Source organism: Homo sapiens, chromosome 22 (assembly GCF_000001405.40).
Source record: "Homo sapiens chromosome 22, GRCh38.p14 Primary Assembly".
NCBI lineage: Eukaryota > Metazoa > Chordata > Mammalia > Primates > Hominidae > Homo > Homo sapiens.
Genome location: NC_000022.11, coordinates 21843196 through 21858783, shown reverse-complemented (window position 1 = coordinate 21858783; position 15588 = coordinate 21843196). Strand labels below are relative to the sequence as shown.

Below are 15588 nucleotides of genomic sequence, written 5' to 3'. Positions count from 1 at the left end.
CCCATTCCTTCTAGTTACCTCTACCAGTTTCTTGATTTTCATTCATTTAATATTATTAAACACGTACCGGATTATGTGCTAGGCAGTAGGAACAAAGTAGTGAACAAAAGTTGTTCTTACTCTTTGGTGTTTACAGTCCAACAGGGCAGTAATAACATTTACTGAGTATGGTGAGGTGTGGAGTGCCACTGGATGATATAAGATATTCTGAGTAGTCATGAAGGGTTTCCGGGAGGAAGTGGTGTTTAAGCTGGGACCTGAAGGAAGACTTAGAGCTAGCTGGGTAAAAGGTAGGGTAGAGTGCTGGAATGTTTTAGGCACTACTTTGTAGAGACTGCATTATAGAAAATGAAAAGTTTATGATTAAGATCTGGGGGCCTTTGTCATATTACTGCAAGGATAGAAAGTGCAGTTAAAGCTTTAGGTATAGTTGGAACCAGGAACTGGAAAATAGACCAACGTAGCTACCTCCCTCCCTCTTTACAGTTACAAAAGCTTCTTGTACCCTACATCTCTCAGCAGCTGGATTTTCCCCCCTCTTTTCTCTTTTGTCACTTCCCCATGCACTCAGCAGAGGAGAGCTGACCCTAGCTCCCTGAAGGTATGTGTCTTCAGGTTTTTTGATGACCAGAGGCTGAGAACACTCTGAATCCAATTCCAAGTGGAACAGAATGTGTAAAAACACTGTTAGGGAGATCATTCTGCACAGAACAGCTCACTCCACCTGGCCTTTCCAGCCTGGGAGAGTGTCTGCCTCTGGTCTAGTCAGCTGAGGCCCAAGGTGGGGTCATTTATTAAATAAAGCTGCATATCTCGGAATGTCTAAAGGGCAAGGTGGGAATTGTCAAAAGGGGTCTCATTGATTTCTGACTTGTTAGGTTAAAGTTCTTGGTACTGTTTTCCCTGTCATTCTCCAGGGAGTGTGTATCACTCTCCGGTTTTTACAGATGAGGAAAATGAAACAAAAGTTGGGTAACTTGCCAGTCACAAGTAAGGGGTCAAAGGATTGTCATGAGTATTAAATAAAACAGTATACTTGAAGTCCTGAGCACTTGGTACCTAGTTAATGCTCTGTTATTCCTTTGAAGTAAACAGGGTTGACAAGATGTGAATCCCCCTTTGTCTCGGTCTCTATGTAAAGCAGCATGTGCAGAAGTACAAATATTTGGCTTGGTGGTCAGATGACTTTACAATGGTATGGAAGTGATACACATGCAGTAGAAACCTTACTTCCGAGTACCCACGCAACTGTTCTGTTTTTCATTTTCAGTATAGTATTTCATACATCATATGAGTTACTCAACACTTTTATTATAAAATGGGCTTTGCGTTAGATGATTTTGCCCAACTGTAGGCTAATGTAAGTGCTCTGAACATGTTTAAGGTAGGCTAAGCTAAGCTGTGATGTTTGGTAAGTTAGGTGTATTAAATGTATTTTCAGCTAGGCTGGGTGCAGGACTCATGCCTATAATCCCAGGACTTTGGGAGACCGAGGCATGAGGATTCCTTGAGCTTAGGAGTTTGAGACCAATCTAGGCAACATAGTGAGGCCTTTTCTGTACTAAAGGTACTAAAAATTAAAAAAAAAAAAAATTAGCCAGGTGTGGTGGTACGTGCCTATAGTCCCAGCTACTTGGGAGCCTGGGGCTGAGGATCGCTTGAACCTGAGTGGTCAAGGCTACAGTGAGCCGTCGTCGTGTCACCGCATTCCCGCCTGGCAACAGAGCAAGAAACTTTCCCAAAAAAAACAAGCATTTCACCTTATGAGGTTTTCCATTTATGAAGGGTTTATTGGGATGTAAGTCCATAGTAAGTCAAGGAGCATCTTTATATAGTTAGAATAGGGACAGTCAAGTGTTTCATGCATAATCCAAATCTTCAGGAGGCAACATCAAGGTAACCCGAGTTTAGGGATATTCTGCAAAATAACTGGCCTGTAAACCTCAAAATTAAGTCAAGATCATGGAACCAAGAAAACACTGAGGAATTGTTCCACACTAAAGAAGTGTGCAGAAACATGGCAACTCCATGTGGTTCATGATTCTGAATCGGCATGATTGGCAAAACTAGAATGTCTGAAAATTAGATTGTAGTCGTGTATCTGTGTTAATGATTTTATTTTTATCTTCTTTTTTTTTTAACTCTTCTTTTTTTTGGTATTTTCTTTTTTGTTTTGGTTTGTCCTTCCTTTTTTTTGTTGTTTTTTGTTTTTTGTTACAAACCCTTGTGTCGATAGCTGACTGCTCTGCTGTATACGAAACCCTGACCCAGAAACAGGTTGTCTGTGAATGGTTTAGCACAGGTCCCCCGTGAATGTGCATTGTGTGACGGGCAAAAGTGTGGCCGCCTTTCTACTGTGCCAAGTTTTCCAGCATGAGAGGCTTTCCATATCTGGTCCTCAGATATGTGGTGTGAATGAAGGGGGGACCAGCTATCCGAGGCCAACCGAGGCTCCACAGTTGGCTGCCATGTCATTTTGCCTGGGCGGGATTCTGACTTAGAGGCCTTTGGTCATAATCTGACAGGTGAGCGTTGACGATTTTGATGGTAGCATTTTGTTTGTATGGGAGAATAGTCTAGTTTTGTTTGTTGGAAATAGTCACTAAAGTATTGGGGGATAATGAGAAAGAAATACTGGCAAACTTACTCTCACATGCTTCAGAGACTAAAAGTTTGATAAGCTAGATATAGAACTTTTCCTATGGTTTGAGATATAGTTCCTTTTCTCTAAAGAGTTGTCGGTGAGTCCCTTTCAGAAACGTACTTGAGTGAGGATGTGTTGAAATTTGTGGGAAGCTGTGAAAGGCAGCTTTTAGCCTACCAAAAGAGGACTGGCCTGGAAGGCAAGAGACCTGAGTCTTGGTCCCTGCTTCTGATGACATGTCACATGGGCATGTGCTCGTCACTCTGCTTCTGCAAGTTTTTGTGTTTCTCATCTGTGGAGTTAAGGGATTGGGATGGTCTCTAGGGTCTCGTACAGCTCTAATATTGTCACCGCCCTCAGGAACATTACATGAAATTAGCATATATGCAATATATTAAGATTCATGTGTGGATTGTTTCCCAGTTACTAGCGCTGTCTTTAATGTAATTTACCTCAGAAATCTCTGGATAATCATTATTGAGATATAATGAAATAGGGAAAAACTTGAGGTTAAAAACTAGTAAATTGATTTACTTCAACATTAAAAGCCCACAATTAAACCCTTGAGGAAAATGACTATTTTTATTTTTTATTTTTTGCTCTGCAAGTAAGGTTGGAACTTCGTAATACTGTATGACAGTAGTCGTTTACCTCACGAATTAGATTATTCATGTGTGTTTGACTGAAGAGAGTTTTTACCTAGTGACTGGAATGAATGTTAATGCTGCTATTTTGGCATTGGAAAAAAAAGGTGTAATGAAAAATGTCAAGTTTGAGAGAGAGAGAAATACTTAAATAGAACTGATTTAAAAGCAATTCTGAAAAAGAAAGAACTTGGCACAATCTTTCTATGAAAGCAAAGACTTTACTGCACAGCTAAAGAAAATGAAGCAAAAACAATACATTGCCCCAATTAATGTTTGAATTCACTGAACACAAGGTAGGCTAGCAAAGTAGAGAGTAATATCTTTGCCTCACCTTGGCCACAAGGATTTATTTTGTCAGTAACCAAGTTTAGTGTACTGCTATTTAGCTTTTTCACTACAGATGTGAAAATGTTTCTTTTTGGGGTTTGTTTGAAATTTTCTTTCCCTTTTCAATTTAGCAGTGCTGAACCTATCCTCAAATAAATTTACATTTTTCCCATTAAATCAACTTTGTTTCTGTTCCATGGTTGAAGCAAATACTTTATAAAGAAAAAAATCAGTGTAGACCTTTCACAAGTTAATTATTACTGCAGGGCTATATAGGCAAATAAAAATATTAGATGTTATGTTTTAGACCAGTGAAAAAACAGTTGGTAGTGATGCTAGATTAAGACTTGCCAGAATGTTCATCCCCTTAGTGAGCCATTCTGCTTATGATAACATTTTGTAATGTTTTCAGGCATTCTTTTGGGACAGCCCTGATCACTTATCATTCAAAGGGATGATAAAAGTGACAATCTTTAGACGTGTTGTAAATTCTTTCTTTCTTTCGTCCAAAGGGAGCTAGAAAGAAAAGACATTTGTGATTATCTGTCCACTTGAACACAACTGCTAGAAAGAGCTATTTAATTATTGCCAACAAGGCAGTGTGAGAGTTTATAGTAACATTAGGAGTGTTTCCAGTTATCCCAGCAGGATTCAGCATTCAAGAACTGGTAAATTTTGGCCAGACGCGGTGGCTCACACCTGTAATCCCAGCACTTTGGGAGGCCGAGGCAGGCGGATCACCTGAGGTCAGGAGTTCGAGACCAGCCTGACCAACATGGAGAAACCCCGTCTCTACAAAAAATACAAAATTAGCTGGGTGTGGTGGCACATGCCTGTAATCCCAGCTACTCGGGAGGCCGAGGCAGGAGAGTCGCTTGAACCTGGGAGGCGGAGCTTGTGGCGAGCCGAGATTGTGCGCCATTACACTCCAGCCTGAGCAACAAGAGTGAAACTCTATCTCAAAAAAAAAAATCTGGTAAATGTTTGTCTGGCATCATAGAATTTAATGCTTACCTCTAAAAATGTAAATTGGAAAATATTTTAGCCTTATGTGGTGTGTGATGTTAGCAGGGAAGTCTCTAATGTTTTCACATGAAGTCAGATGCTGGCTTTGGACCGAGGTGTATTTTGTTTACTTAAGGCAGTATCCATCATTTCCTATTTTAGTTTTTTGTTTCTTTTTGTTTGTTTGTTTTTTGAGATGGAGTCTTGCTCTGTCTCTCAGGCTGGAGTGCAGTGGTGCCATCTCAGCTCACTGCAACCTCCACCTCCTGGTTTCAAGCAATTCTCCTGCCTCAGCCTCCCAAGTAGCTGGGACTACAAGCGCGTATTGCCACCCCCAGGTAATTTTTTGTATTTTAGTAGAGACAGGGTTTCACCCTGTTGCCCATGCTGGTCGTGAACTCCTGAGCTCAGGCAATCCACCCGCCTTGGCCTCCCAAAGTGCTGGGATTACAGGCATGAGCCACCGCACCCAGCTGTCAGATGTCTTTACTGCCTCCGTGAAGATGATATGATTTCATCACATTTAACATTGTTAATGTGAAGATCATGTCAATAGATTTCCTTATATGGAATCTCTCATACCTGGAATAAACTGTGCTTGTTTATTTGTATTCCTTTTTATAATGTGCCATTGGATTCTGTTTGCTAATATTCAGAGATTTTGTGTTGATATTCGTAAGTAGTATTCAACTGTAGTATCTTTTGTGCAGTCTTTGTCAGGTTGGGGTTACCATTACACTTGCTTCATAAAATGAGTGTGGAAGTTTTCTTTCCTTTTCTGTGTTCTGAAATAGCATTAAGACTACTTTGTCTTTTTTTTTTTTTTTTTGACACAGAGTCTTGCTCTGTCACCCAGGCTGGAATGCAGTGGCATGATCTCGGCTGACTGCAACCTCTTCCTCCCAGGTTCAAGTGATTCTCCTGCCTCAGCCTCCCAAGAAGTTGGGACTACAGGTGCACACCACCACGTGTAACTAATTTTTATATTTTTAGTAGAGATGGGGTTTCACTATGTTGGCCAGACTGGTCTCAAACTCCTGACCTCAGGTGATCTACCCACCTCGGCCTCCCAAAGTGCTGGGATTACAGGCGCCAGCCACCAGTCTACCTTATCTTAAAATGGTATAATTTTCCTTTGAAACTATTTGCCTGGTATTTTTTTGGTTTTCTTAGACTGGTTTCTGCTTGGTTTCTACCACCACTCTTAATCCCCTCCAGTTGTTCTCTGCAACCACCACCATGACTGCCATTTCCTTGAGCACTTATTATCCATTAAGCACCTTTATGTGTGGTAATTAATGACTGTTATGTGTTTTGTTGTTTTGATACAAAGTCTCACTGTCGCCCAGGCTGGACTGCAGTGGCGCTGTCACTTGAATCCAACCTCCACCTCCCGGGTTCAAGCAGTTCTCCAGCCTCAGCCTCCCAAGTAGCTGGGATTACAGGTGTGCGCTACCACATCTGGCTAATTTTTGTATTTTTAGTAGAGACAGGGTTTCATCACCTTGGCCAGGGTGGTCTCTAACTCCTGACCTCAAGTGATCCACCCACCTCTACCTCCCAAAATCCTGGGATTATAGGTGTGAGCCACTGAGCCCAGCCTGTTATGTATTTTTGTCTTTTGTTTTCTTTGAGACAGGGTGTCACTCTCTCACTCAGGCTTGAGTGCAGTGGCATGATCACGGCTCGATGTGTTTATTCTTGTTTTTTTCTTGTTTTTCTGTTGTTTTTTTTTTTGTTTTTTTGAGATGAAGTTTTGCTCTTGTTGCCCAGGCTGGAGTGCAATGGTGCAATCTTGACTCACTGCAACCTCCACCTCCCAGATTCAAGCGATTCTCCTGCCTCAGCCTCCCAAGTAGCTGGAATTACAGGCATGTGCCACTACGCCCAGGTAGTTTTGTATTTTTAGTAGAGATGGGGTTTCTCCATGTTGGTCAGGCTGGTCTCGAACTCCTGACCTCAGGTGATCCGCCCGCCTCAGCCTCCCAAAGTGCTGGGATTACAGGCTTGAGCCGCCGCACCCGGGCTGGACTATTATCTTTCTATTAAACAATACAGTACTTAGTATTTCCTGGTTTTGAATTTCATATAAGTGAAATCATACTGTGTGTATTCTTCAACTAGCTTTTTTCATTCATCATTATGTTTTTGAGTATAGTATAGTTACTTGTTTTCACTGCTTTATATACCATTGTATAAATATACCACAATTTATCCATTCTAGTATTAATGGACATTAGGTTTGTTGTTATTACAGTGTTCCTGCAAGTAACCTTGCACATTTCTCCTGATACACAAGAGTTTCACAGATCTTTAGACAGATTCCCCAGTAGTGGAATTGCTGGATGGTAGGGCATATGTACATTCACCGGGTATTCCACATTGTTTTCCTAAGTTGTTTTCCCAGTAAAGTTTTGTGTTATTATTATTGCACATCATGTGTTTAATTGATTCCTTGATACTTTATGTTTGTTGTTGCTATTCTAAGTGATATCTTTTTTTTTTTTTTTTTTTTTTGAGACAGAGTCTCGCTCTGTGGCCCAGGCTGGAGTGCAGTGGCGATCTCAGCTCATTGCAAGCTCCGCCTCCTGGGTTCACGCCATTCTCCTGCCTCAGCCTCCCTAGTAGCTGGGATTACAGGCGCCCACCACCATGCCCGGCTATATTCTAAGAGATATCTGTAGATGGTTTATAGAAATGCATTTGACTTTTGTAAACTGATGAATTACTGGAATAAAAAGATTGTCCAACAAACTCTTATTCCAGTAATCCCTCTTTAAATTTTTTAAGGACAAACATATCATCTGAAAATCATGATATTTTGTTTCTTTTCATGACTTAGATATATTTTATCTTGTCTTAACTGTGCTGGCCGGACTCTCCATTACAAAGTTGAAGAGCAGTGGTGATACAGAGGGCATCCCTGACTTGTTCTGATGTTAAAAGGAAAGCTTTTATTGAGTGATAGGGGCTACTGGTTTTTCATAAGGCTTACTTCCCACCCACCCCCTCCCCGGAAACAGGGTCTTGCTATGTTGCTCAGACTGGTCTCAAACTCCTGGGCTCAAGTGATCATCCCACTTTACCCTCCTGAATGGCTGGGATTACAGGCACATGCCACAGCACCTGGCTTCATAAAGCTTTCTTTGTCAAGTTTTTTTAAACTTAAAGAAAAAAAGAATCCTGAATGATTGAATTTCTACAGATGCTTTTTAATTGCATGTATAGAAATTTTCTTGTTTTTTTTCTTTAAGTTTCATGTTACCCTAATAGATTTTCTAATATTGAATCAATTTTGCATTCCTGGGATTAAACCCAACTTGGTCATGATGTATTATTATTATATATTGCTGGATTTGGCTTGTTAATAAATAATAGGGTTTTTCTCATGTGGTTTGGTATGAAAATTAGACTACCCTTACAAAATGAATTGGCAAGTGTTTCTTTTCCTATTCTTCTGTTTTTATTTCTGTAAAATTAGAATGATTCCTTCAAAGTTTGGTAGAACTTGCCTGTACAAGTCTGGACCTGGGTGGTTTTTTGGTTTTGGTATGTGTTTGGTTTTTTGTTGAAAACATGTTAAGCTGATTCAAAATTATTTTAAAAATGGTTATACGACTGTTCCTACTTTGAATTTCTTCTTGGTAATTATATTTCTCTTGGCATTTATTCTTCTCACTTATTTTTACATTTACTAGAGTATTGTATTTTCTTACCTCTTTTAATCTTATTTTGAATATCCATTTAAACATAGGTAAGATATAAGTACTGTTTGTGGCTGGGCACAGTGGCTCATGCCTGTAATCCTAGCACTTTGGAAGGCCAAGGCGGGCAGATCACTTGAGGTCAGGAGTTCAAGACCAGCCTGGCCAACATGGCAAAATCTTGTCTCTACTAAAAATACAAAAATTAGCTGGGCGTGGTGGCGCCTGCCTGTAATCCTAGCTACTCCAGAGGCTGAGGCATGAGAATCACGTCACCCCAGGAGGCAGAGGCTGCCGTGAGCTGAGATCGCGCCACTGTGCTCTATCCTGGGCGACAGAGCAAGACTCTGTCTCAAAAAAAAAAAAAAAAAAGGTACTGTTTACAGAATAAGTTAAATACTTGTCATCACTGTGCAGATTGCAAAATGGAACATTGCTAGTACCTTAGAAACGCCTTCTCAAATCTTTAAGAGTTGAGTACGTTCCTTAATTTTGTGATAATTGTTCTTTTCAGACTCTTCTCCCTTTTTATTCTTTACTTTTATTGATGTATAATATACATAAAGAAAAGTGGCCAGATGTGGTGGCTCATGCCTGTAATCCCAACACTTTAGGAAGCCAAGGTGAGAGGATCACTTTGAGCTCAGGAGTTCAAGACCAGCCTGGGCTGATTATAGACGTGAGCCACATTGTCCTGCTGGGTATATATTTAGTAGCAGAATGACTGTGTCAGTCTGTGCATAGATTCCATTTTAGTAGATGTGCCAAACTGTTTTCCAAAGTGGTAAAATATTTCCATTAGCAGTGTATTAGAGTTCAGACCAGTGCATATTCTCAACAACACTTGGTATCATTTTTAGCCTCTCTAGTGGGTATGAAGTGGTATGCATTGTGGGTTTTGTTTGCATTTCTCTGATATTTTAGCTCTTTTTTGGTGGTTAACTCTTTTTTGTATGTTTATGACATTCGGCTATCTCGTGAAGTATTTAAGGGTTATTTTGCAAATTTTTCTGTGGAGATTTTTGTTTCATTAAATTATAGGAGTTCTTTGTAGATTTTGATGAGTCTTTTTTTAGATTCATGTGCTGCAGATATTTTCTCCTTTCCAAGAGTTACCTCTTTTTTTTTTTTTTTTTTTGATACAGTCGCAATTTGTCGCCCAGGCTGGAGTGCAATGGTGCAATCTCTGCTTCCTAGGTTCAAGTGATTCTCCTGCCTCAGCCTCCCAAGTAGCTGGGATTACAGGCACGCCCCACCACACCCTAGGCTCACTGCAACCTCTGCTTCCTAGGTTCAAGTGATTCTCCTGCCTCAGCCTCCCAAGTAGCTGGGATTACAGGCACGCCCCACCACGCCCAGCTAATTTTTGTATTTTTAGAGACGGGATTTCACCATGTTGGCTAGGCTGGTCTCGAACTCCTGACCTCAGCCTCGGCCTCCCAAAGTGCTGGGATTACAGGCGTGAGCCACTGCGCCCGGCCGAATTACAGCTATTTTAAAGATCATCTTCAGTAACTAGTAACTGGGTCACTGTGGATATGTGGATATGTTGTCTCTTTTTTCTCGTTTCTGTTTCCTTGTATGCTTGGTAACGTTCAAGTGAATGCTGGATACTGTGTATGAAAATTGTTGATGCTCTAGGTGACATTTTTCTCCAGAGAGAGCTCTCCCTAATCACTGATAGGCAGATACAGTGGTGACAGATAACCATAATTCAGTGAGAGATTGAGCTGATTCGAGGGTTGGTTGCAGTTTTTTTTTTTTTTTTGTATTACACACCTTTTAATTTGAATTAATTAGGCATGATCATTATTGAAAATTGGTAAAGTGTAGATTGATAACAACCAAAACAGGGGAAAACATTCATTTAAAACTTTCCCAAATAAATGCTCCATGTATAGGCCTCTATTAAAATAATAACAATAAACATTTTTTGAACCACTTTATATATTTTAAGATTTGTTTAGGGCTTTTTCATTTGCACGTGAAAATATTCCTTTTTTTTTTTTTTTTTTTTTAGTATTTATTGATCATTCTTGGGTGTTTCTCGGAGAGGGGGATTTGGCAGGGTCATAGGACAATAGTGGAGGGAAGGTCAGTAGATAAACATGTGAACAAAGGTCTCTGGTTTTCCTAGGCAGAGGAGGACCCTGCGGCCTTCCTCAGTGTTCGTGTCCCTGGGTACTTGAGATTAGGGAGTGGTGATGACTCTTAACTAGCATGCTGCCTTCAAGCATCTGTTTAACAAAGCACATCTTGTACTGCCCTTAATCCATTTAACCCTGAGTGGACACAGCACATGTTTCAGAGAGCACGGGGTTGGGGGTAAGGTCATAGATCAACAGCATCCCAAGGCGGAAGAATTTTTCCCAGTACAGAACAAAATGGAGTCTCCCATGTCCACCTCCCTCCACACAGACACAGTAACAATCTGATCTCTCTCCTCTCCCCACATTTCCCCCCTCTATTCGACAAAACCGCCATTGTCATCATGGCCCGCTCTCAATGAGCTGCCGGGCACACCTCCCAGACGGGGTGGCGGCCCGGCAGAGGGGCTCCTCACTTCCCAGACGGGGCGGCCGGGCGGAGGCGCCCCCCACCGACGGGGCAGCTGCCGGGCGGGGGGTGCCCCCCACCTCCTGGACGGGGCGGCTGGCCGGGCGGGGGCTGCCCCCCACCTCCCAGACGGGCTGGCTGCCGGGCGGAGACGCTCCTCACTTCCCAGACGGGGCGGCTGCCGGGCGGAGGGGCTCCTTACTTCTCAGACGGGGCGGCTGGGCAGAGACGCTCCTCACCTCCCAGATGGGGTGGCGGCCGGGCAGAGACGCTCCTCAGTTCCCAGACGGGGTCGCGGCCGGGTAGAGGCGCTCCTCACATCCCAGACGGGGCGGCGGGGCAGAGGCGCTCCCCACATCCCAGACGATGGGCGGCTGGGCAGAGACGCTCCTCACTTCCCAGACTGGGCGGCCAGGCAGAGGGGCTCTTCACATCCCAGACAATGGGCGGCCAGGCAGAGACGCTCCTCACTTCCCAGACGGGGTGGCAGCCAGGCAGAGGCTGCAATCTCGGCACTTTAGGAGGCCAAGGCAGGTGGCTGGGAGGTGGAGGTTGTAGCGAGCCAAGATCACGCCACTGCACTCCAGCCTGGGCAACATTGAGCACTGAGTGAGCGAGACTCCGTCTGCAATCCCGGCACCTCGGGAAGCCGAGGCAGGCAGATCACTCGCGGTTAGGAGCTGGAGACCAGCCGATCCAACATGGCGAAACCCCGTCTCCAAAAAATACAAAAACCAGTCAGGCGTGGCGGCGCGCGCCTGCAATCCCAGGCACTCGGCAGGCTGAGGCAGGAGAAACAGGCAGGAAGGTTGCAGCGAGCGGAGATCACGGCGGTACGGTCCAGCTTCGGCAACAGAGGGAGACCGTGGAAAGCGGGAGAAGGAGAGAGGGAGAGGGAGAAGGAGAGGGAGAGGGAGTGGTGTGTTTGGCGGGGGTGGGGGGACTCTTTGTGTGGAAGGTGACAGACTTGCACGTTTGCTTACATATACTAGAGTTAGAACTGTGCTTGGGTAGGTACTTTGAGATCATTGGAATAAAGATAGCATGTGAAAACAGAATAATTATGAAAACGTCTTCTTTTATACAGCACTTTGTACTTTTTAAATTGCTTTCACTGCTGTCACATCAAACCTCTTCACACTTCTGTAGGACAGATAAAGCACAATTATTTCTCTGTTACGCAGATGGGGAAACAGACCTAGGCAGGGATATAGTGACCTGCCCACAGGTCTAACAGCATTTGAGTGATAATTAGAACTAAAGTGGAGGAATTTTTATTTGAGAAGTTGAGCAGTGAGAGTCAAAATCTTCTTAGGAGCTGTAGGTTTTTGTACCAATGGAGAGATCTCTTTTTCTGTTGGATATGATTGACAATGTTAGAAGAGATATTCACTGGAGGAAGGCCCCGCAGAAGGAATGAGGAACAGACCTCTGGCCTGTATTGTGCCTCCATTGTCTCTGGTGTAGTTGTGCATATTGTGAGATTACAGATGGGAAAGAAAGAGATCTTCACCCTCAGCTCAAGAGAAGAAAGTAAGGGTGCTGTAGGAACAGATGTCACAGTAAAAGCATGCCAATCTAAGTGTGCTCAAGGGATTTTATGCTAGTTGGCCTTAGGTTCTGGTAAGAGATAAGGTGGGGCATCTGCCAAGAGTACATAAGGGATCAGGGGCTTGGAAAGTGTGAAGAAAGTTTGAGATAGCTGTTGTGTGCTTAAAATTAACTAAAGATGAATAAAAAGACTGGCCCCTTTCATTGAGAGTGGGGACTTTGTTCTCTGCTGTATCCCCAGCACCTAGTATACACATTGCACATAGTAGGTACTCAGTAAATATTTGTTGAATCAGGCAGATTCCTGCCTAGGTCTGTTTCCCCATCTGCATAACACAAATAAGGCTGGCTAACCCTGTGCCATCTCCGTAATAGTCTTCATCTTCTCTTCACTTTCCCATTCATTTCTCTATATTAGTTGAATACATGAATGAAGACAGGAATAAGTTCCTCACTGAAGTTACAAGCCTTTTTAAGAACAGCAAGGTAACATATCTCATTTATCAAATTAGTAACTGCATTTGAAAATTCAGCTCTGACACTTATGGCTGGGTGACTTAGAGCATGTCCTGTAACTTCTCAGAGTCTCATTTTACTCTGGTGAAACAAGGATCATGTCTTTTGAGTGTTGAAATGACTGTATTAACTAAATCACTATGTAATCCTAAGAGCAATCTTTATGCATCCCAGAATGGGGTAGAGAATAAAGTATTGGAGTGAATGACTGTGGGATATAGGCTAGATACCTATGTACATAGATAATTTCATGGAGCCTTTTTAAAAAATTATGGTAATATACACATAACAAAATTTACCATCTTGGCCAGGTGCTCACGCCTGTAATCCCAGCACTTTGGGAGGCCGAGGCGGGCGGATCACCTGAGGTCGGGAGTTCGAGACCAGCCTGACCAACATGGAGAAACCCTGTCCCTACTGAAAATACAAAATTAGCCGGGCGTGGTGGTGCATGCCTGTAATCCCAGCTACTCAGGAGGCTGAGCCAGGAGAATCACTTGAACCTGGCTGGCAGAGGTTGCGGTGAGCCAAGATTGCACCATTGCACTCCAGCCTGGGTAACAAGAGCAAAACTCCATCTCAAAAAAAAAAAAAAAATTACCATCTTAACTATTTTTAGGTGTACTGTTCTGTAGCATTAAGTAGATTCACATTGTGCAACCAATTTCCAGAGCTCTTTTTTTTTTTTTTTTTTTTGAGACGGAGTCTTGCTCTGTCGCCCAGGCTGGAGTGCCGTGGTGCAATCTCAGCCTCCCAGGTGCACGCCATTCTCCTGCCTCAGCCTCCTGAGTAGCGGGGACTACAGGCGCCCGCCACCACGCCTGGCTAATTTTTTGTGTTTTTAGTAGAGACGGGATTTCACCCTGTTAGCTAGGATGGTCTCCATCTGCTGGCCTCGTGATCCACCCGCCTTGGCCTCCCAAAGTGCTGGGATTACAGGCGTGAGCCACCGTGCCTGGCCTCCAGGGCTGTTTACATCATGCAATGCTGAAACTCTATAGCAATTAAATAACTCTCCATTTTTCCTTCTTCCAAGCCCCTGGCAGCCACCATTCTACTTTCTGTCTCTATGAAGTCTGACTGCTCTAGGTACCTCATGTAAGTGGAATCATACAGTGTTTGTCTTTTTATGATTGGCTTATTTTACTTACTATAATGGCCTTAAGGCTCATCCATGTTGTAGCATGTGTCACAATTTCCTTTTTAAGGTGGAACAATATACTCCATTGTAAATACACACACCACTCATCTGTTGATGAACACTTGGGTTGCTTTTGCCTCTTGTGAATAAGGCTGCTATGAATATAAGTGTACAACTATCTCTTTGGGACCCTGCTTTCGATTCTTTTGGGTAGGAACCCAGAAGGGCACTACTGGATCATATGGTAATTCTGTGTTTAATTTTGAGGAACCACAAACTCCTGAGTTCAAGTGATCCTCACAACTCAGCCTCCCATACTGTTTCCAAAGTGGCTGCACCTTTTCACATTCCCACCAACAGGGCAAAAGGATTCCAGTTTCTCCACAACCTTGCCAACACACTGCCCAGGAGGCAGAGGTTGCAGTGAGCTGAGATCGCGCCACTGCACTCCAGCCTGGGTGACAGAGTGAGACTCCATCTGAGAAAAAAAGAAAAAAAAAAAAAAGACCTGATTTGGCTATGGGGGTTCTGCCCTCATGAATGGATTTAGGTCATTATCACAGAGTGGGTTGGTCTAAAAGTGAGTTGGGCCCTCTCTGTCTCTTACGCTCCTGCCTTTGCTTGCCCTTCTGCCATGGGGTGATACAGCAAGAAGGCCTCTGCCAGATGCAGGCCTCTTGACCTTGGACTTCCCAGCTTACGGAACTATAAGAAATACATTTCTTTTCCTATAAATTACCCAGTCTGTGGTATTCTGTTATGGCAACACAAAACAGACGAAGGGATTTTAATGGGATGGTTGGAAACTGAATGTGGACTACCTAGAGTGGACACCACCTTGTTGGTTGTAGCAAAGCCATGTTAAAAGGTAAGCCTATTGCTACAATGTAAGGGTAGGTAATATTTTATTTACATACTGTATCATAAGTATCAACATTATAAAGGGGATAAGTACACTGGAGCTTAATGTTGTGTTCCTGTCTTCTATAACCATTTGATCACTATGTCTATTCCTAATAAATCTCACCTGTTCTTTAAAAATATCCTAGTAATTCTTTGGGTTTTGAATCTTTACTCTCCATTATAAGTATGTATACATCTAAATTTTAAAAATATGCATGCAGGCATTCTGACTAGATCTCCAAGGCTTGGCCGACCTGTTAAATGACATAACTCAAGTAAATTATCAGACATATCAGAAGTACAAACTTGATGGGCTTGGTTGAGATATAGTGATCCTCAGAGTGCTGTCTGGTGACCCCTGCACTCTCCTCTCTGACAGGAGAGCTCAGCCTTACCCTTTGCTGAAGAAGTGAGTTCTCTTTACCCCTTCTTCTGCCTCTGATGTCTTCTCATCTCTAAATATGGTCTGTACCCCTCACACCACAAATAAAAGTGTTCTTACTTCAGCAAAACTATAGGGAGGGGCTCGTCGCCACTGGAATTGGTTCTAACGGTTGAAACTCATTCCTCATTCAGGATCCTTCCACAGGTCCA

The 15588-nt window shown here is 43.0% G+C and overlaps 1 protein-coding gene across 2 annotated transcripts in view, besides 2 other annotated features; it reads left to right on the top strand.

Annotated features, from left to right (window-relative positions):
- MAPK1 (mitogen-activated protein kinase 1) overlaps window positions 1-15588 on the top strand; it is a 108024-nt gene that overhangs the window by 8897 nt on the left and 83539 nt on the right. The window lies entirely within an intron of this gene.
- Window positions 2441-2942: an enhancer, noted in NCBI's record as "H3K4me1 hESC enhancer chr22:22210131-22210632 (GRCh37/hg19 assembly coordinates)". NCBI's record gives its function as "activates a minimal SCP1, AML or CMV promoter by ChIP-STARR-seq in primed H9 embryonic stem cells {active_cell/tissue: H9 hESC(primed)}" and the evidence as "EXISTENCE:reporter gene assay evidence [ECO:0000049][PMID:30033119]".
- Window positions 12178-12378: a silencer, noted in NCBI's record as "peak4467 fragment used in MPRA reporter construct". NCBI's record gives its function as "represses an SCP1 promoter by STARR-seq MPRAs in K562 erythroleukemia cells {active_cell/tissue: K562}" and the evidence as "EXISTENCE:reporter gene assay evidence [ECO:0000049][PMID:32103011]".